Here is a 13,741-nt window from a genome sequence, read left to right as displayed (position 1 = left end):
CTACTACGTTGAAGAACAGTGGGGGAAGTGGGCATCCTTGTCTTGCTCCAGATCTTAGAGGAAAGGCTTTCAGTTTTTCTCCATTCAGTATGATTCTAGCTGTATGTCTGTCATACATGACTTTTATTATGTTGAGGTATGTTCCTTCTATACCCAATTTTTTGAGGGTTTTTATCATGAAGGGATGTTGAATTCTATTAAAGGCTTTGTCAGCATCAATTGAAATGATCATATGGTTTTTTTCCCTCATTGTATTGATATGATGTATCACATTGACTGATTTGCATATGTTGAACCATCCTTGCATCCCTGGGATAAATCTCACTTGGTCATGATAAATGTGAGTGACCTTGCTTTATCTGGCAACACAACTATGAAGTCAGAAACTGTTCAAACTAAGGCCAGGAGTGGTGGCTCACGCCTGTAATCCCAGCACACTGGGAGGCCGAGGTGGGCGGATCACTTGAGGCCAGGAGTTGGAGACCAGCCTGGCCAACATGGCGAAACCCTGTCTCTACTAAAAATACAAAACTAGCTGGGTGTGGTGGTGCAGGCCTGTGATCCCAGCTACTCGGGAGGCTGAGGCAGGAGAATCACTTGAACCTGGGAGGTGGAGGTTGCAGTGAGCCAAGATCAAGATCACACCACTGCACTCCAGCCTGGGTGACAGAGCGAGACTTGGTCTTTAAAAAAAAAAAAAAACTGTTAAAACTAGAACTTTCTACCTCGTCACTCTGTTTGCCATTGTTTCCCACCAGGTGGAGCCATGGTCATATTTATTATCTTAACATCTTAACATGTTTACTTATGGTAGGATGACCTGCAGTGGTCCAGCCTCGTGGTATTCATGCCCTTCTGGGACCTATACCCCTTTGTGTGTAGATTGGGCATAGTGACAAGCTTCTAACAAACAGCATATGGCAGAAGTGATGTGATGTCACTCCCGGTACAGGTTACTGGAAGACTGGTTTATGTCCTGCTGGTCCTCCCCACCTTGCCTTGCTTGCTCTATGGAAGGGGCTTCCATTATGGGAACTGCCTGGGGAGAGGCTCATGGGGCAAGGAACTGATGCCTCCAGCCAACAGCCAGCAAGGACCTGAGGGCTGCCCACTGCCATGAGTGAGTCTGGAGGCAGATTTTCCACCCTGAGATGCCTGCAGCTCCAGCCAGCCCCTTGACTCTAGCCTTGAGGAACCTACAGCCAAAGCCACCCAGTTACCCTCACCCAGATTCCTGACTGCTGGAAATTGTGACATCGTAAATGTTTCTTGTTTTAAGCCAATACATGTTGGTGTAATTTTTGTTTTGCCTTTGTTTTTGTCTTTTTGAGTCAGTGTCTTACTCTGTTGCCTGGGCTGGCGTGCAGTGGTACGATCATGGCTCACTGCAGCCTCGGCATCCTGGGCTCAAGTGATCCTCCTGCCTCGGCCTCCCAAAGTGCCAAGATTACAGGCATGTGCCGCAATGCCTGGCCTGGTGTAATTTCTTATGTGGCAGTAGATAACTAATACACTTGTTATATGGCAGTAGATAACTAATACATAACTAATAAATATTCTTCTCCCCACTCCCTCTCTTTCCCCCATCACTGGACAGTGATGTCTGTGAGGGTAGGGACCATTATCAGTATTGTAACCTGTGTGTCATCAGACAGCACAGCACAGAGTATGTTTGTGCATGGCGTTCAAAAGTTCGTGGAGTAGGCCAGGCAGAATGGCTCATGCCTATAATCCCAGCACTTTGGGAGGTCAAGGCAGGCAGATCACCTGAGCCCAGGAGTTTGAGACCAGCCTGGACAACGTGGTGAAACTCCACCTCTACAAAAAATGCAAAAATTAGCGGGCCTGATGTCATGTGCCTATAGTCCCAGCTACTTAGGAAGCAGAGGCAGGAGGATCACTTGAGCCTGGGAGGCAGAGGTTGCAGTGAGCCAAGATTGCACCACTGCACTCCAGCCTGGGTGACACAGTGAGACCCAATCTCAAAAAAAAAAAAAAAAAGATTTGTGGAATAAATGCAGGAATGCATGAACAAGAGTTGTTAGTTCTCATATAAGCTTTTAAAAGACAGATGCTCAAGAGCAAGTAGGAAAGTGAAATACCAGCAAAATAAAATATCTTCTCTGGGTTTGCTCTGGGAGAGCAAAGTACCAGCCAGGTGTCAGCCAGAGAAAGAGAATGATGAGGAGTAAGATGTGGATATGCATATACGTATCCAGGTATCAGTCCTGGTTCTCCAGAAGAACAGAACCAGTAGGAGATATAGATATGATATATACACGTATGCATATAAATACACATATATGCTGCTGGAGTTTGGATATTTGACTCTCCAAACCTCATGTTGCATTTTGATCCCCAATGTCAGGGGTGGGACCTAATGGGAGGTGTCTGGGTCATGGAGGTGAATTTCTCACAATTGGTTTGGTGTCAGCCTCTTGGTAGTGAGTGAGTTATCTCTCTATTAGCACCTGCAAGAGTTCCCCTGGGAGCTGGTTATTAAAAAGAGACTGGCATCTTCCCATTCTCTTGCTCATTCTCTTGCCATGTGATTTGGACATGCCAGCTACCCTTCCACTTCTGCCATGAGTGGAAGAAGCCTGTGGCCCTCACACTGCAGACTGGTGAGTCAAATAAACCTCTTTTCTTTATGAATTACCCAGTACCCAGGCTCAGATTGGTTCTTTTTTTTTTTTTTTGAGATGGAGTCTCGCCGTGTCGCCAGGCTGGAGTGCAGTGGCGCAATCTCGGCTCACTGCAACCTCCGCCTCCCAGGTTCAAGCCATTCTCCTGCCTCAGCCTCCTGAGTAGCTGGGACTACAGGCACACGCCACCATGCCCAGCTAATTTGTTTTTTGTATTTTTAGTAGACACAGGGTTTCACCATGTTCACCAGGATGGTCTCGATCTCTTGACCTTGTGATCCACCCACCTCAGCCTCCCAAAGTGCTGGGATTACAGGCGTGAGCCACCGCGCCCAGCCCAGGTATTTTTTTGATAGCAAAGCAAAACAGACTAAGATATATGCACATACACATATATATACATACATGTATATATGTATGCATATATGTGTACATGTATTTATGTATTTATGTATTTACTTATTGCAAATGAATGGGCTTCTGCCATTTTAGGGGCTGGCTAGGTAAGTCCAAGATCCACAGGGCAGGCTGGAAACTCTCAGGCAGGAGTTGATGTCATTCAAAAGCAAAATTCCTTCTTCCTCAGGGAAACCTCAGTTCTGCTCCCCCAAAGGCCTTTCAACTGATTGGATCAGGCTCACCCAGATTATCTAGGATAATTTACTTAAAGTCAACTGATAGTAGATGTCAGTCACATGTACAAAATACTTTCATAGCAACACCTAGGTTAGTGTTTGATCAAATAACTGGATACTAGTGTTTGATCAAATTACTGATAAAGACATACCCAAGACTGGGTAATTTATAAAGGAAAAGATGTTTAATGGACTTACAGTTCCACATGGCTGGGGAGGCCTCACAATCATGGCAGAAGGGAAAAGTCACGTCTTACCTGGTGGCAGGCAAGAGAGAATGAGAATCAAGTGAAAGGGGAAACCCTTATAAAATCATCAGCTCTCATGAGACGTATTCACTACTACAGAACAGTACGGGGGAACCATCCTCATGATTCAATTATCTCCCACCAGGTCCCTCCACAACACATGGGAATTATGGGAGCTACAATTCGGAGACAAGATTTGGGTGGGGACACAGCCAAACCATATCATCTAGGTAAATGGATATAGGAAGCTGAATATCACAATTCATAAGGGATGGGTGATAGGGATTTGACCATATGCATTGCATAAGCTGGTTGAGCCATCTATGTAAGGGTGATCTCTCTGCATCTGCTGGTACAGCCTGAAGTCAGCAGGGCAGGTATTGGGAAGGGAAGATGGGATACAAAGTGGGGAAGCCAGGGAAGACGAACTGAGAGGATCAGTGGGAAGCCATGTAGACAGACGGGACCCTCACAGTCTCCAGGACTCCAATTTTCATGAGCGGATGTCTTCCAGGAGAAGTCACTGCTCTTTGATTTGGAGTTAAATGTGTACCTGCAGGAGGATCCTGTGGGAGCTGGGAGAGGTAGGGGCCTGGCTGCTGCCTCACATCCCCAGGGAGAGCCTCAAGGTGCAAACAACGTGCATGACAGCCACAGTGCCTGGGCCTGCACCCACCTGCCCAACACAAAAGCATGTGGCTTCTGCTTCCCTTCTGCCTTCCACATTCATGCACGTTGTCTCCTGGGGCCCATGCTAACTTTCAGCTGCATAGGGAAAGGCTTGTGGGAAACCTCCTTCAGCTTAATGAAATTGACACATTACAAATTCATGACCAGTGGGAACTGGGACCTTGTTCACCTCTTTGGCTGTGGCCAGAGGCCCTCCTAGAAGCAGAAAGAATTGAGAAGTGGTGCTTCCTGCAAGCAGAACCTATTGGGAAGCCATCTCACAAGGGAAGCTGGGCAATATAGTTTGCAGGCTTCTAGCCTGGTGGTACAAAGGAGGGTGCTGATGACTAAGAATGAAGCAGAAAGCCAGCAGATAAACACTGACACCAAACCAGAGGGGTGGAAATGCTGGCTGACAAAGTGAATGACACTCTGTTGACCTCCAACACCAGCACTTCTAGATCTTAGGGCCCTGTTCCAATTCTCCTTACATCTATTCCTTTTGTCTTATTGGTTGGGGCCCTATTTTTCCCTTGGTGATTCTCCTGTCTTATGAACCTTGATGTCACATAGACTTGTAGTTGCTCTGGGGACAAATCCATTTTCGTGAGAACACAGGTTAGTCATGCCTCCAAAATCAATCCCAAATCTGAATCTACCTCCCTCTCCCCCTACCCTCACCCAAGCCACGATGCTCTCTCTCCTGCTTGAGCAAACAGCCTTCTAATCTGGCCACTCATTTCCACCCCTGCTTTCCTCAAATTTTCTCTCTACATTCAGCCAAAGGGACTTTTATAAGGCACAATCCAGCTGGGCATGATGGCTCATGCCTGTAATCCCAGCACTTTGGGAGGCAGAGGCAGGTGGATCGCTTCAGTTCACGAGTTTGAGACCAGCCTGGGCAACACAGTGAGACCCTGTCTCTACAAAAAATACAAAAAAATTAGCTGGGTGTGGTGGTGCACACCTGTAATTCCAGCTACTTGGGAGGCTTAGGCAGGAGAATTGCTTGAACCCGGGAAGCAGAGGTTGCAGTGAGCCGAGATTGCACCACTAAACTCCAGCCTGGGTGACAGAGTGAGACTCTACAAAAAAAAAAAAAAAAAAAGCACAATCCAGGTCTTGTCACCCCTGTTGAAGACTCTCCAAGGCTCTGTCTTATGCATGAAATAAAATAGGAGCCTCTATATCTTGATCTCTTCCTGCCTCAAGTTGAGAACTCACTGAGTCTTGCTCACTGGGGGCTGTCCTCTGGCCTCTCTCAGATCCTCAAGTCCTCCAATTTCTTCACTAAAGAGCTCTGTACTGGCCGGGTGTGGTGGCTCACACCTGTAATCCCAGCACTTTGGGAGGCCGAGACAGGTGGATCACCTGAGGTCAGGAGTTGGAGACCAGCCTGGCCAACATGGTGAAACCCCGTCTCTACAAAAAATACGAAAATTAGTCATGGTGGCGTGCACCCGTAATCCCAGCTACTTGGGAGGCTAAGGCTGGAGAATTGCTTGAACCTGGGAGGCAGAGGTTGCAGTGAGCTGAGATTGCACCACTGTACTCCAGCCTGGGAGACAGAGCAAGACTCCGTCTCAAAAAACAAAAAACAAACAAACAAAAATCTCTGCACTTTCACTTTCTCTTCTCTTCTCCATGCCTGGGCCTCTCCTCTTGTCACTCCCCTTGCCCACCATGGCTACCTCCTTTGTATTCCTTTGTATTCCTTCCTGCCAGGTGTCACCAACTTCCCCAGCCCTGCTACCTAAAGCAGAGTCCTCCTGCAGTCACTTTCCACCACATCACCTAGTTGGACTTTCCTGGTAGCATGTGTTTTTGCTCCATGAAATGATTGCATTTCTAGTTGTTTATTTAGTTTCCACTTATCCTAGTAGACCGGAAGCCCCAGGAGAGCCCAGACTTGGTCTCGTGACTGCTTTCTGTCCCATCAGTGACAGTGTCAGCGTCCTCAGATCTGGGATTATTCATGTGAGTCCAACACCCCCCAGAGCCCTCAAGAGGAAAGGGAGAGGCGGTGGCCGGATGGACACCCCTGCCTGCTCAGCCCTTCTCCCTGAGGTCTCTTGGATCTGAACAGCAGCAAGAGATCATGGCAAATAAATCACTCAATGCTTGTGTGTTTTGTGCATGTTTTTAGTGCCTCCAAATGCTGAGCATTTAGGGTTTGTTTCCGAGGTTTTCTGAAATACGCCAGGGCCTTGGTGTTGGAAGCAAATTAGGATACCTGTTGTCTGCCTGTGCTCTGAGTCAACCTGAGGAGCTCTCAGCTGGGCCACGTGGAGTGTACACGGGGTGGGCCCCACAACCCCAGCCCCAGCCTTCCTTCCATTTGTGTTTTTTTTTTTTTGAGACAGAGTCTCGCTCTGTCGCCCAGGCTGCAGTGGCACAATCTCGGCTCACTGCAAGCTCCGCCTCCCGGGTTCACACCATTCTCCTGTCTCAGGCCTCCCGAGTAGCTGGGATTACAGGCGCCCGCCACCATGCTCAGCTAATTTTTGTATTTTTAGTAGAGACGGGGTTTTGAAATGTTGGCCAGGCTGGTCTCAAACTCCTGACCTCAGGTGATCCACCTGCTTCGGCTCCCAAAGTGCTGGGATTACAGATATGAGCCACTGCGCCAGACGAAAATCATTTTTAAGTCTTATTTTCCAAGTGTTGAATAAGTTTCCTGCACAGAGCTCCTGAAATCATGTTATCTCTAAAGGTAGCTATTGATAAAATAAGGGGTTGGTCTGATTCTGGTTTGTACTATTCTTAATTAAAATATCGGATAACTCACAAATGTTACGGGAAATAGAAAACAAATTGGAGCTTAGTTTGTGGCATATATTCCCAATCCCAATGATCAATAATGTTTGTATATCATTTATATTAGTACACAGACTCAGTGGTGGCTATTTCATGTGGTCTCTGAATTGTACCTTTATATAGCGTAGGCTCTGTCCTATTTGGCTTGGTAAACTTACATAGATAAAACAAGAGGTGTTAATTGCACACAGAGGCCTCCTTGTTGTATGGTTAGTAAATCTAGAATTATGTGGTGGTGAGCACTGCTAAAACCAGAGAATTAGCTTCTGTCTGGATATTATGTAAGGAATCTAGAGTTGTATATTTGGACTGGACTCTATTAGTCTGGAACGAATAGAACTTTCTTTTACTGCCTACTTTTTTTTTTGAGACGGAGTCTCCCTCTGTCACCTGGAGGTGGAGTGTAGTGGCGCAATCTTGGTTCACTGCAACATCCGCCTCCTGGGTTCAAGCGAGTCTCACACCTTGGGCTCTCGAGGAGCTGGGATCACAGGCATGTGTCACCACCCCCAGGTAATTTTTGTATTTTTTGGTAGAGACGGGGTTTCACCATGCGGCCAGGCTAGTCTCAAACTCCTGACTTCAGGTGATCGCCTTCGAAAGTGCTGGGATTACAGGCGTGAGCCACCACACCCTGCTGCCTACTTTTATGGGTGAATTCTTCCTCCTTCAAGATCCTTTAAGTCTGGACTGAGATCCTGTAAACCACAGCATATATACTGGTTTAATTTCCTGGGAGGGCTTGTAGGATCTGGTTCTACAAATGAAGTTCTACACATCAGCCTTTGTTCCATAATGGTGGGCTTTTCTGACTAGATTAACTGGCTTTATTCTCACATACGATATTGTCAGTATAGCCTTGGTAGTACATTTGATTTGTCTATATCCTTGCAACAATGGGAGCCAATGCATATTAAACTCATGAAAATGCTACATTGTCAGGATGGATGAAGTTATTCTGCATTGTCAGAAAGGATGAAGTTATTTGTAATAATATCTACCCATTATTCTAAGTAGTTGCACCGACTACTTAGTCAGTTGATGTTTTTCATATTTTTATCAGAATCATTATGGATCTTTCCAGATATAATATATATAAATATGGTTCAGTTATTTATTGATACATTATAACCATAAAATTCAAGCACAACCAATGTTCTTTGCTAAGGAGCAGTTATAATTTTTCTAAGCCTTACCCATCATAAATGCATTCATCTGCATTCTGATTAGAATTATTATAATATTTCAGTCTCTGATGATTTGTTAGCTTACAATTTTTTTTTTTTTTTGAGACAGTCTTGGTCTGTTACCCAGGCTGGAGTTCAGTGGTGCAATCATGGCTCACTGTAACTTCTATTTCCTGGGCTCAGGCACTCTTCCCACCTCAGCCTCCTGAGCTGGGACTACAGGTGTGTGCCACCTCGCCTGGCTAATATTTTTTAAAAATTATTTTTTGTAGAGATGGGGTCTCGCTGTATTACCCAGGCTGGTCTTAAACTCCTGGGCTCAAGACATCATCCTACCCCTGCCTTCCAAAGTGTTAGGATTACAGGTGTGAGCCACTGCACCCGGACAGTTTATAATTTATATTGAGATTTGACACAGGATATATTTTCCAGAATTTGGAAGAGTCAGATGGAAAAATACTACTGAGAGGCTTTCATTCCAATTTCCTCAAGTATAAATGTTAAATTGAGAGTTGGCAGTGGGTCACGAAGAAAGGAAAAGAGCTTCTTCCTATGCGCATAAAAAGAAAGAACATTTGTAAAGCAATTCTCAATAATATTAAAAATAACCACAAGCAGATTTCCTTCATCAGTTTCATTTTGTTCTATGTAAATAGGAGTCTGTTTTTTTAAAAAATATTTATTTATTTATTTATTTATTTATTTATTTATTTATTTATTTTGGGACGGAGTCTCGCTCTGTCACCCAGGCTGGAGTGCAGTGGCACAATCTCGGCTCACTGCAAGCTCCGCCTCCCGGGTTCATGCCATTCTCCTGCCTCAGCCTCCCTAGTAGCTGGGACTACAGGGGCCCACCACCACACCCGGCTAATTTTTTGTATTTCTAGTACAGACAGGGTTTCACCGTGTTAGCCAGGATGGTCTTGATCTTCTGACCTCGTGATCCGCTCGACTCGGCCTTCCAAAGTGCTGGGATTACAGACGTGAGCCACCGCGCCCGGCCTATTTATTTATTTATTTTTATCAGATACAGGGTTAGTCGTCATGAAATAATCTACTTATGGAATAGAAAGAACTCTGGAAATTCTGGTTCTGCTTCTGGTACAGAATATCACAGGTGTTTACTTGGGAGGACAATGCTGGTTTACACGGTGATATGGTTTGGCTGTGTCCCCACCGAAATCTCATCTTGGATTGTAGCTCCCACAATTCCCACGTGTTGTGGGAGGGACATGGTGAGAGGTAATTGAATCATGGGGGCAGGTCTTTCTTGTGCTGTTCTCGTGATAGTGAATAAGTCTCACGAGATCTGATGGTTTTTTTGTTCTTTTTTTTGGCTGAGCATAGAGGACTTTATTGATGGTACATGACAAGGTGGGGCTCCCTAGGCCCCTCCCTCTTCGGGGGATCGGCATGGAAACTGTGAGGAGGGGAGATTCGCAGTGTGGTGGGGGACTGAGTGTGGCAGGGACTCCCCAGCAGTGAGGACCTCTCTGTTCCTCTCATGCTCTCTCTGGAGCTGGTGGTCTGGGGGTCTTACTCCTTGGAGGCCATGTGGGCCATGAGGTCCACCATACTGTTGCTGTAGCCAAATTCATCGTCATACCAGGAAATGAGCTTCACAAAGTGGTTGTTGAGGGCAATGCCAGCCCCAGCATTGAAGGTGGAAGAGTGGGTGTCGCTGTCGAAGTCAGAGGAGACGACCTGGTGCTCACTGTGGCCCAGGATGCCCTTGAGGGGGTCCTCCAATGCCTGCTTCATCATTTTCTTGACATCATCATATTTGGCAGGGTTTTCCCAGATGGCAGGTCAGGTCCATGACCAACACGTTGGCAGTGGGGATATGGAAGGCCATGCCTATGAGCTTCCCATTCAGCTCAAGGATGACCTTGCCTACAGCCTTGGCAGTGCCAGTAGAGGCACGGATGATATTCTGGAGAGTCCGACGGCCATGATGCTACAGTTTCCCGGAGGGGCCATCCACAGTCTTCTGGGTGGCAGTAATGGCGTGGACTGTGGTCATGAGTCCTTCCACGATACCAAAGTTGTCATGGGTGACCTTGGCTGGGGCACTAAGCAGTTGGTGGTGCAGGAGGCATTGCTGATGATCTTGAAGCTGTTGTCATACTTCTCGTGGTTCATGCCCATCACGAACATGGGAGCGTCAGAAGAGGGGGCAGAGATGATAACCCTTTTGGCTCCTCCCTGCAAGCGAGCCCCAGCCTTCTTCCTGGTGGTGAAGATGCCGGTCGACTCCATGATGGACTCAGCACCAGCATTGCCCCATTTGATTTTGGAGGGGTCTCGCACCTCGAAAATGGTGATGGGATTTCCATTGATGACAAGCTTCCCGTTCTCAGCCTTGATGGTGCCATGGAATTTGCCATGGGTGGAATCATACTGGAACATGTAGACCATGTAGTTGAGGTCAATGAAGGGGTCATTGATGGCAACAATATCTACTTTACTAGAGTTAAAAACAGCCCTGGTGACTAGGCTCCCGGTTCCAACAAATCCATTGACTCCGGACTTCAACTTCACTGTGGTGTCTCAGGGACGTACGTGGCTGGCAAAGCACAAGAAGATGCGGCTGTCTGTTGAACGGGAGGAGCAGAGAGCCAATCTGATAGTTTTATAAGGGGGAGTTTCCTTGCACAAGTTCTCTCTCTTGCCTGCTGCCATGTAAGATGTGCCTTTCGCCTTCCACCATAATTGGAAGGCCTCCCCAGCCCCACGTGGAACTGTAAGTCCACTAAACCTCTTTTTCTTTATAAATCACCATGTCTCAGGTATGTCTTTATCAGCAGCATGAAAACAGACTCATACACATGGGAAAACCTGAACCCAGTGAGCCTATTTCTTGAAGTGTCAGTAGCTCAGGGTATCAGGTATTGTCTATTCATCGAGGCACTTTGACTTTCCTTTGTCCAAGACCCAATTTCTGGCCTGTAGTTTCCAGCTAACCTTCAGGAAAGCATGAAAGGAAAGCAGAAGTCACTTATTGATTGTAGGACTAAATAATGATGGGGAATTTACTACAGTGACTAATACTATCTAATAAGAAGAAAACAGAATGCTCTATTAGGGCATACTATATAATTATTCCAAGAGAATTAGATCAATGTTTCTCCTGGGGGCAAGAACAGATTATGGACACTGAAGATATTGACACATCACCATCCTGTAAAAGTGGACAGTCTCTGAGATATATTTATAATAGTGACATTTAATGCACAAAATTAATCTAAGGAAGGCTGAACTCATCTTTTTAGTTTGAAAGCATTTTTCACATTGTGTGTTCAAAAATCAGGGAGGTTTTTACACTATTGTAGAATCATTTTAAAAACAGAAGCACATCAAATATAGGCTGGGCGTGGTGCCTCACGCCTGTAATCCCAGCACTTTGAGAGGCCGAGGCAGGTGGATTGCTTGAGCCCAGGAGTTCGAGACCAGCCTGGGCAACATTCTCCAGCTGAGGCAGGAGAATCGCTTGAACCCGGGAGGCAGAGATTGCAGTGAGCCAAGATCACACCACAGTACTCCAGCTTGGGCAACAGAGTGAGACTCTGTCTTGAAAAAAAAAAAAAGCATATCAAATATACTTAAGAGTTCTAGCATCCTGCCCTGTGTGTGTATTTCCTATGGTGGGTTACAAGGTGAGGGAACAGATCTTTGGTGCTTTGGCCATCCAGGAAGGGCCAAAGATTATTTTGAATGTACAAACATCTTGATGATTTTTAACTTTTCTGAATTTATAGTCTGATTTTATGAAAGGAAACATCAAAAAGAATTGTCCAAAATACTGATCACTTGACTAAAATAGGTGCATAATTGCCTAAGAGAAAGGAGTAATTATAGCTTGGCTACCCTATTAACCATAATGACAATCAAGATATTCAAAAATAGGCCAGGCACAGTGGCTCATGCCCGTAATCCCAACTCTTTGGGAGGCTGAGGCAGGAGGATCATTTGAGTTCAGCCTGGGCAACATAGGGAGACTCTGTCTCTACAGTTTTTTTTTTTTTTTAATTACCTGGGCATTGGTGGTGCATGCCTGTGATCCCAGCTGAGGTGGGATTATCACTTGGCTCTGGGAGTTCAAGGCTGCAGAGAGCCGTGATTGCACCTCTGCACTGCAGCTTGGGTGACAGAGTGAGACCTTGTCTCAAAAAAAAAAAAAAAAAAATAGTAAATATAGGCCAGGAACGGTGGCTCATGCCTGTAATCCCAGCACTTTGGTAAGCTGAAGTGGGTGGATCACGTGAGGTCAGGAGTTTGAGACCAGCCTGGCCAACAAGGCAAAACCCTGTCTCTACTAAAAATACAAAAAATTAGCCAGGCGTGGTGGTGCGTGCCTGTAGTCCCAGCTACTAGGGACACTGAGGCAGAAGAGTCACTTGAACCTGAGAGGCGGAGGTTGCAGTGAGCCAAGATCATGCCACTGGACTCCAGCCTGGGTGACAGAGTGAAACTCTGTCTCAAAAATAAATAAATAAATAAATAAATAAATAAATAAATAAATAAATAAAGTAGAAGGTAACTATAAGGGAATTTAGCTTTTTGTAAGTGACAATCTTTTACTGCACGTTTTAAAAAATAAACAATTCAACAATATGACTAAGGTCAGCAAAAAGGAAAAAAAAGTTAAATCTTCTCAAACAAGAATATTTAGTAAGGCAAGAACCTCTGCTACCCGGACAAATTTCACAGAAAGTAAAGAATAACTTTTTTACTATGCCTTGCTGAGAGCAGACTGAATACTTTAAGATCCCTTTGTCATTTTAAAGACAGAAAAAACATCAAATTCTAGTTTTACTGTTTTTGCCCATCATCCAGATGGCATGATACAGTCTGTTTTTCTTTCTCATTTTCTTTTTAAAATCTTATATATTAACCCATACTTATACATTATCCAGGTGTTCAAAGATTATTCATTAAATAGCTCAGTATTAGTTTGAGTCCATAAAGTTAAAAAGAATCTTATATAGTATGTTTAAGCTGGCACTACAGTATGTCATAATCCTATTTTCACTGAGTATATGTTCTATGTTGGCATTTACTTTTTCTCAGCACTTTAAAAATATGATTCGTTGTCTTCTGATTGAGAAGTCAGCTGTCAGCTTTAATAATGTTCCTCTTTTGAAGGTAATCTACCCTTTTTTTTATATGACTGCTTTTAAGACTTTTCTCTTTGCCTTTGTCTTTTAGGAGTTTTACTATAATGTGTCTGTGTTTGATTTCCTTTGTGTTTATTTTATTTTGAGTTTGAAAGACTTCTTGAATTTGTGGATTGGTGTCTTTCATCAGTTCTGAAACATTTGCAGATGTTATGTCTTTCGATATTGCTTCTGCACCATTTCCTCTCTGTATGTCTTCAGGGACTCTTCAGAAGTCAACTCACCTCTCTGAGACATTGAGCAATTAGTCTTTTATAGATCAGGCTTATGGTTTCCTTAGTAAGAAAATTTCCTCAAATGCTTGGTAAGTTTTTGGTCTATTTGCTTCCAATCAATTCCATTTATGAGTCCCACCCCTAAAGA

General features: G+C 44.9%; 2 pseudogenes across 2 annotated transcripts in view; one reads left to right on the top strand and one right to left on the bottom strand.

The window, feature by feature from the left end:
• The window catches only part of PPP5D1P (PPP5 tetratricopeptide repeat domain containing 1, pseudogene), an 82,238-nt pseudogene that overhangs the window by 31,537 nt on the left and 36,960 nt on the right, over positions 1-13,741 (top strand). The gene's annotated exons all lie outside the window — the stretch shown is intronic.
• GAPDHP38 (glyceraldehyde 3 phosphate dehydrogenase pseudogene 38) lies at positions 9,536-10,820 on the bottom strand (annotated as a pseudogene).

This window comes from Homo sapiens, chromosome 19 (assembly GCF_000001405.40).
Source record: "Homo sapiens chromosome 19, GRCh38.p14 Primary Assembly".
NCBI classification, from domain to species: Eukaryota; Metazoa; Chordata; class Mammalia; order Primates; family Hominidae; genus Homo; species Homo sapiens.
Note: the sequence above shows the minus strand (reverse complement) of the source record. Positions and strands in the feature narration are given on the sequence as shown.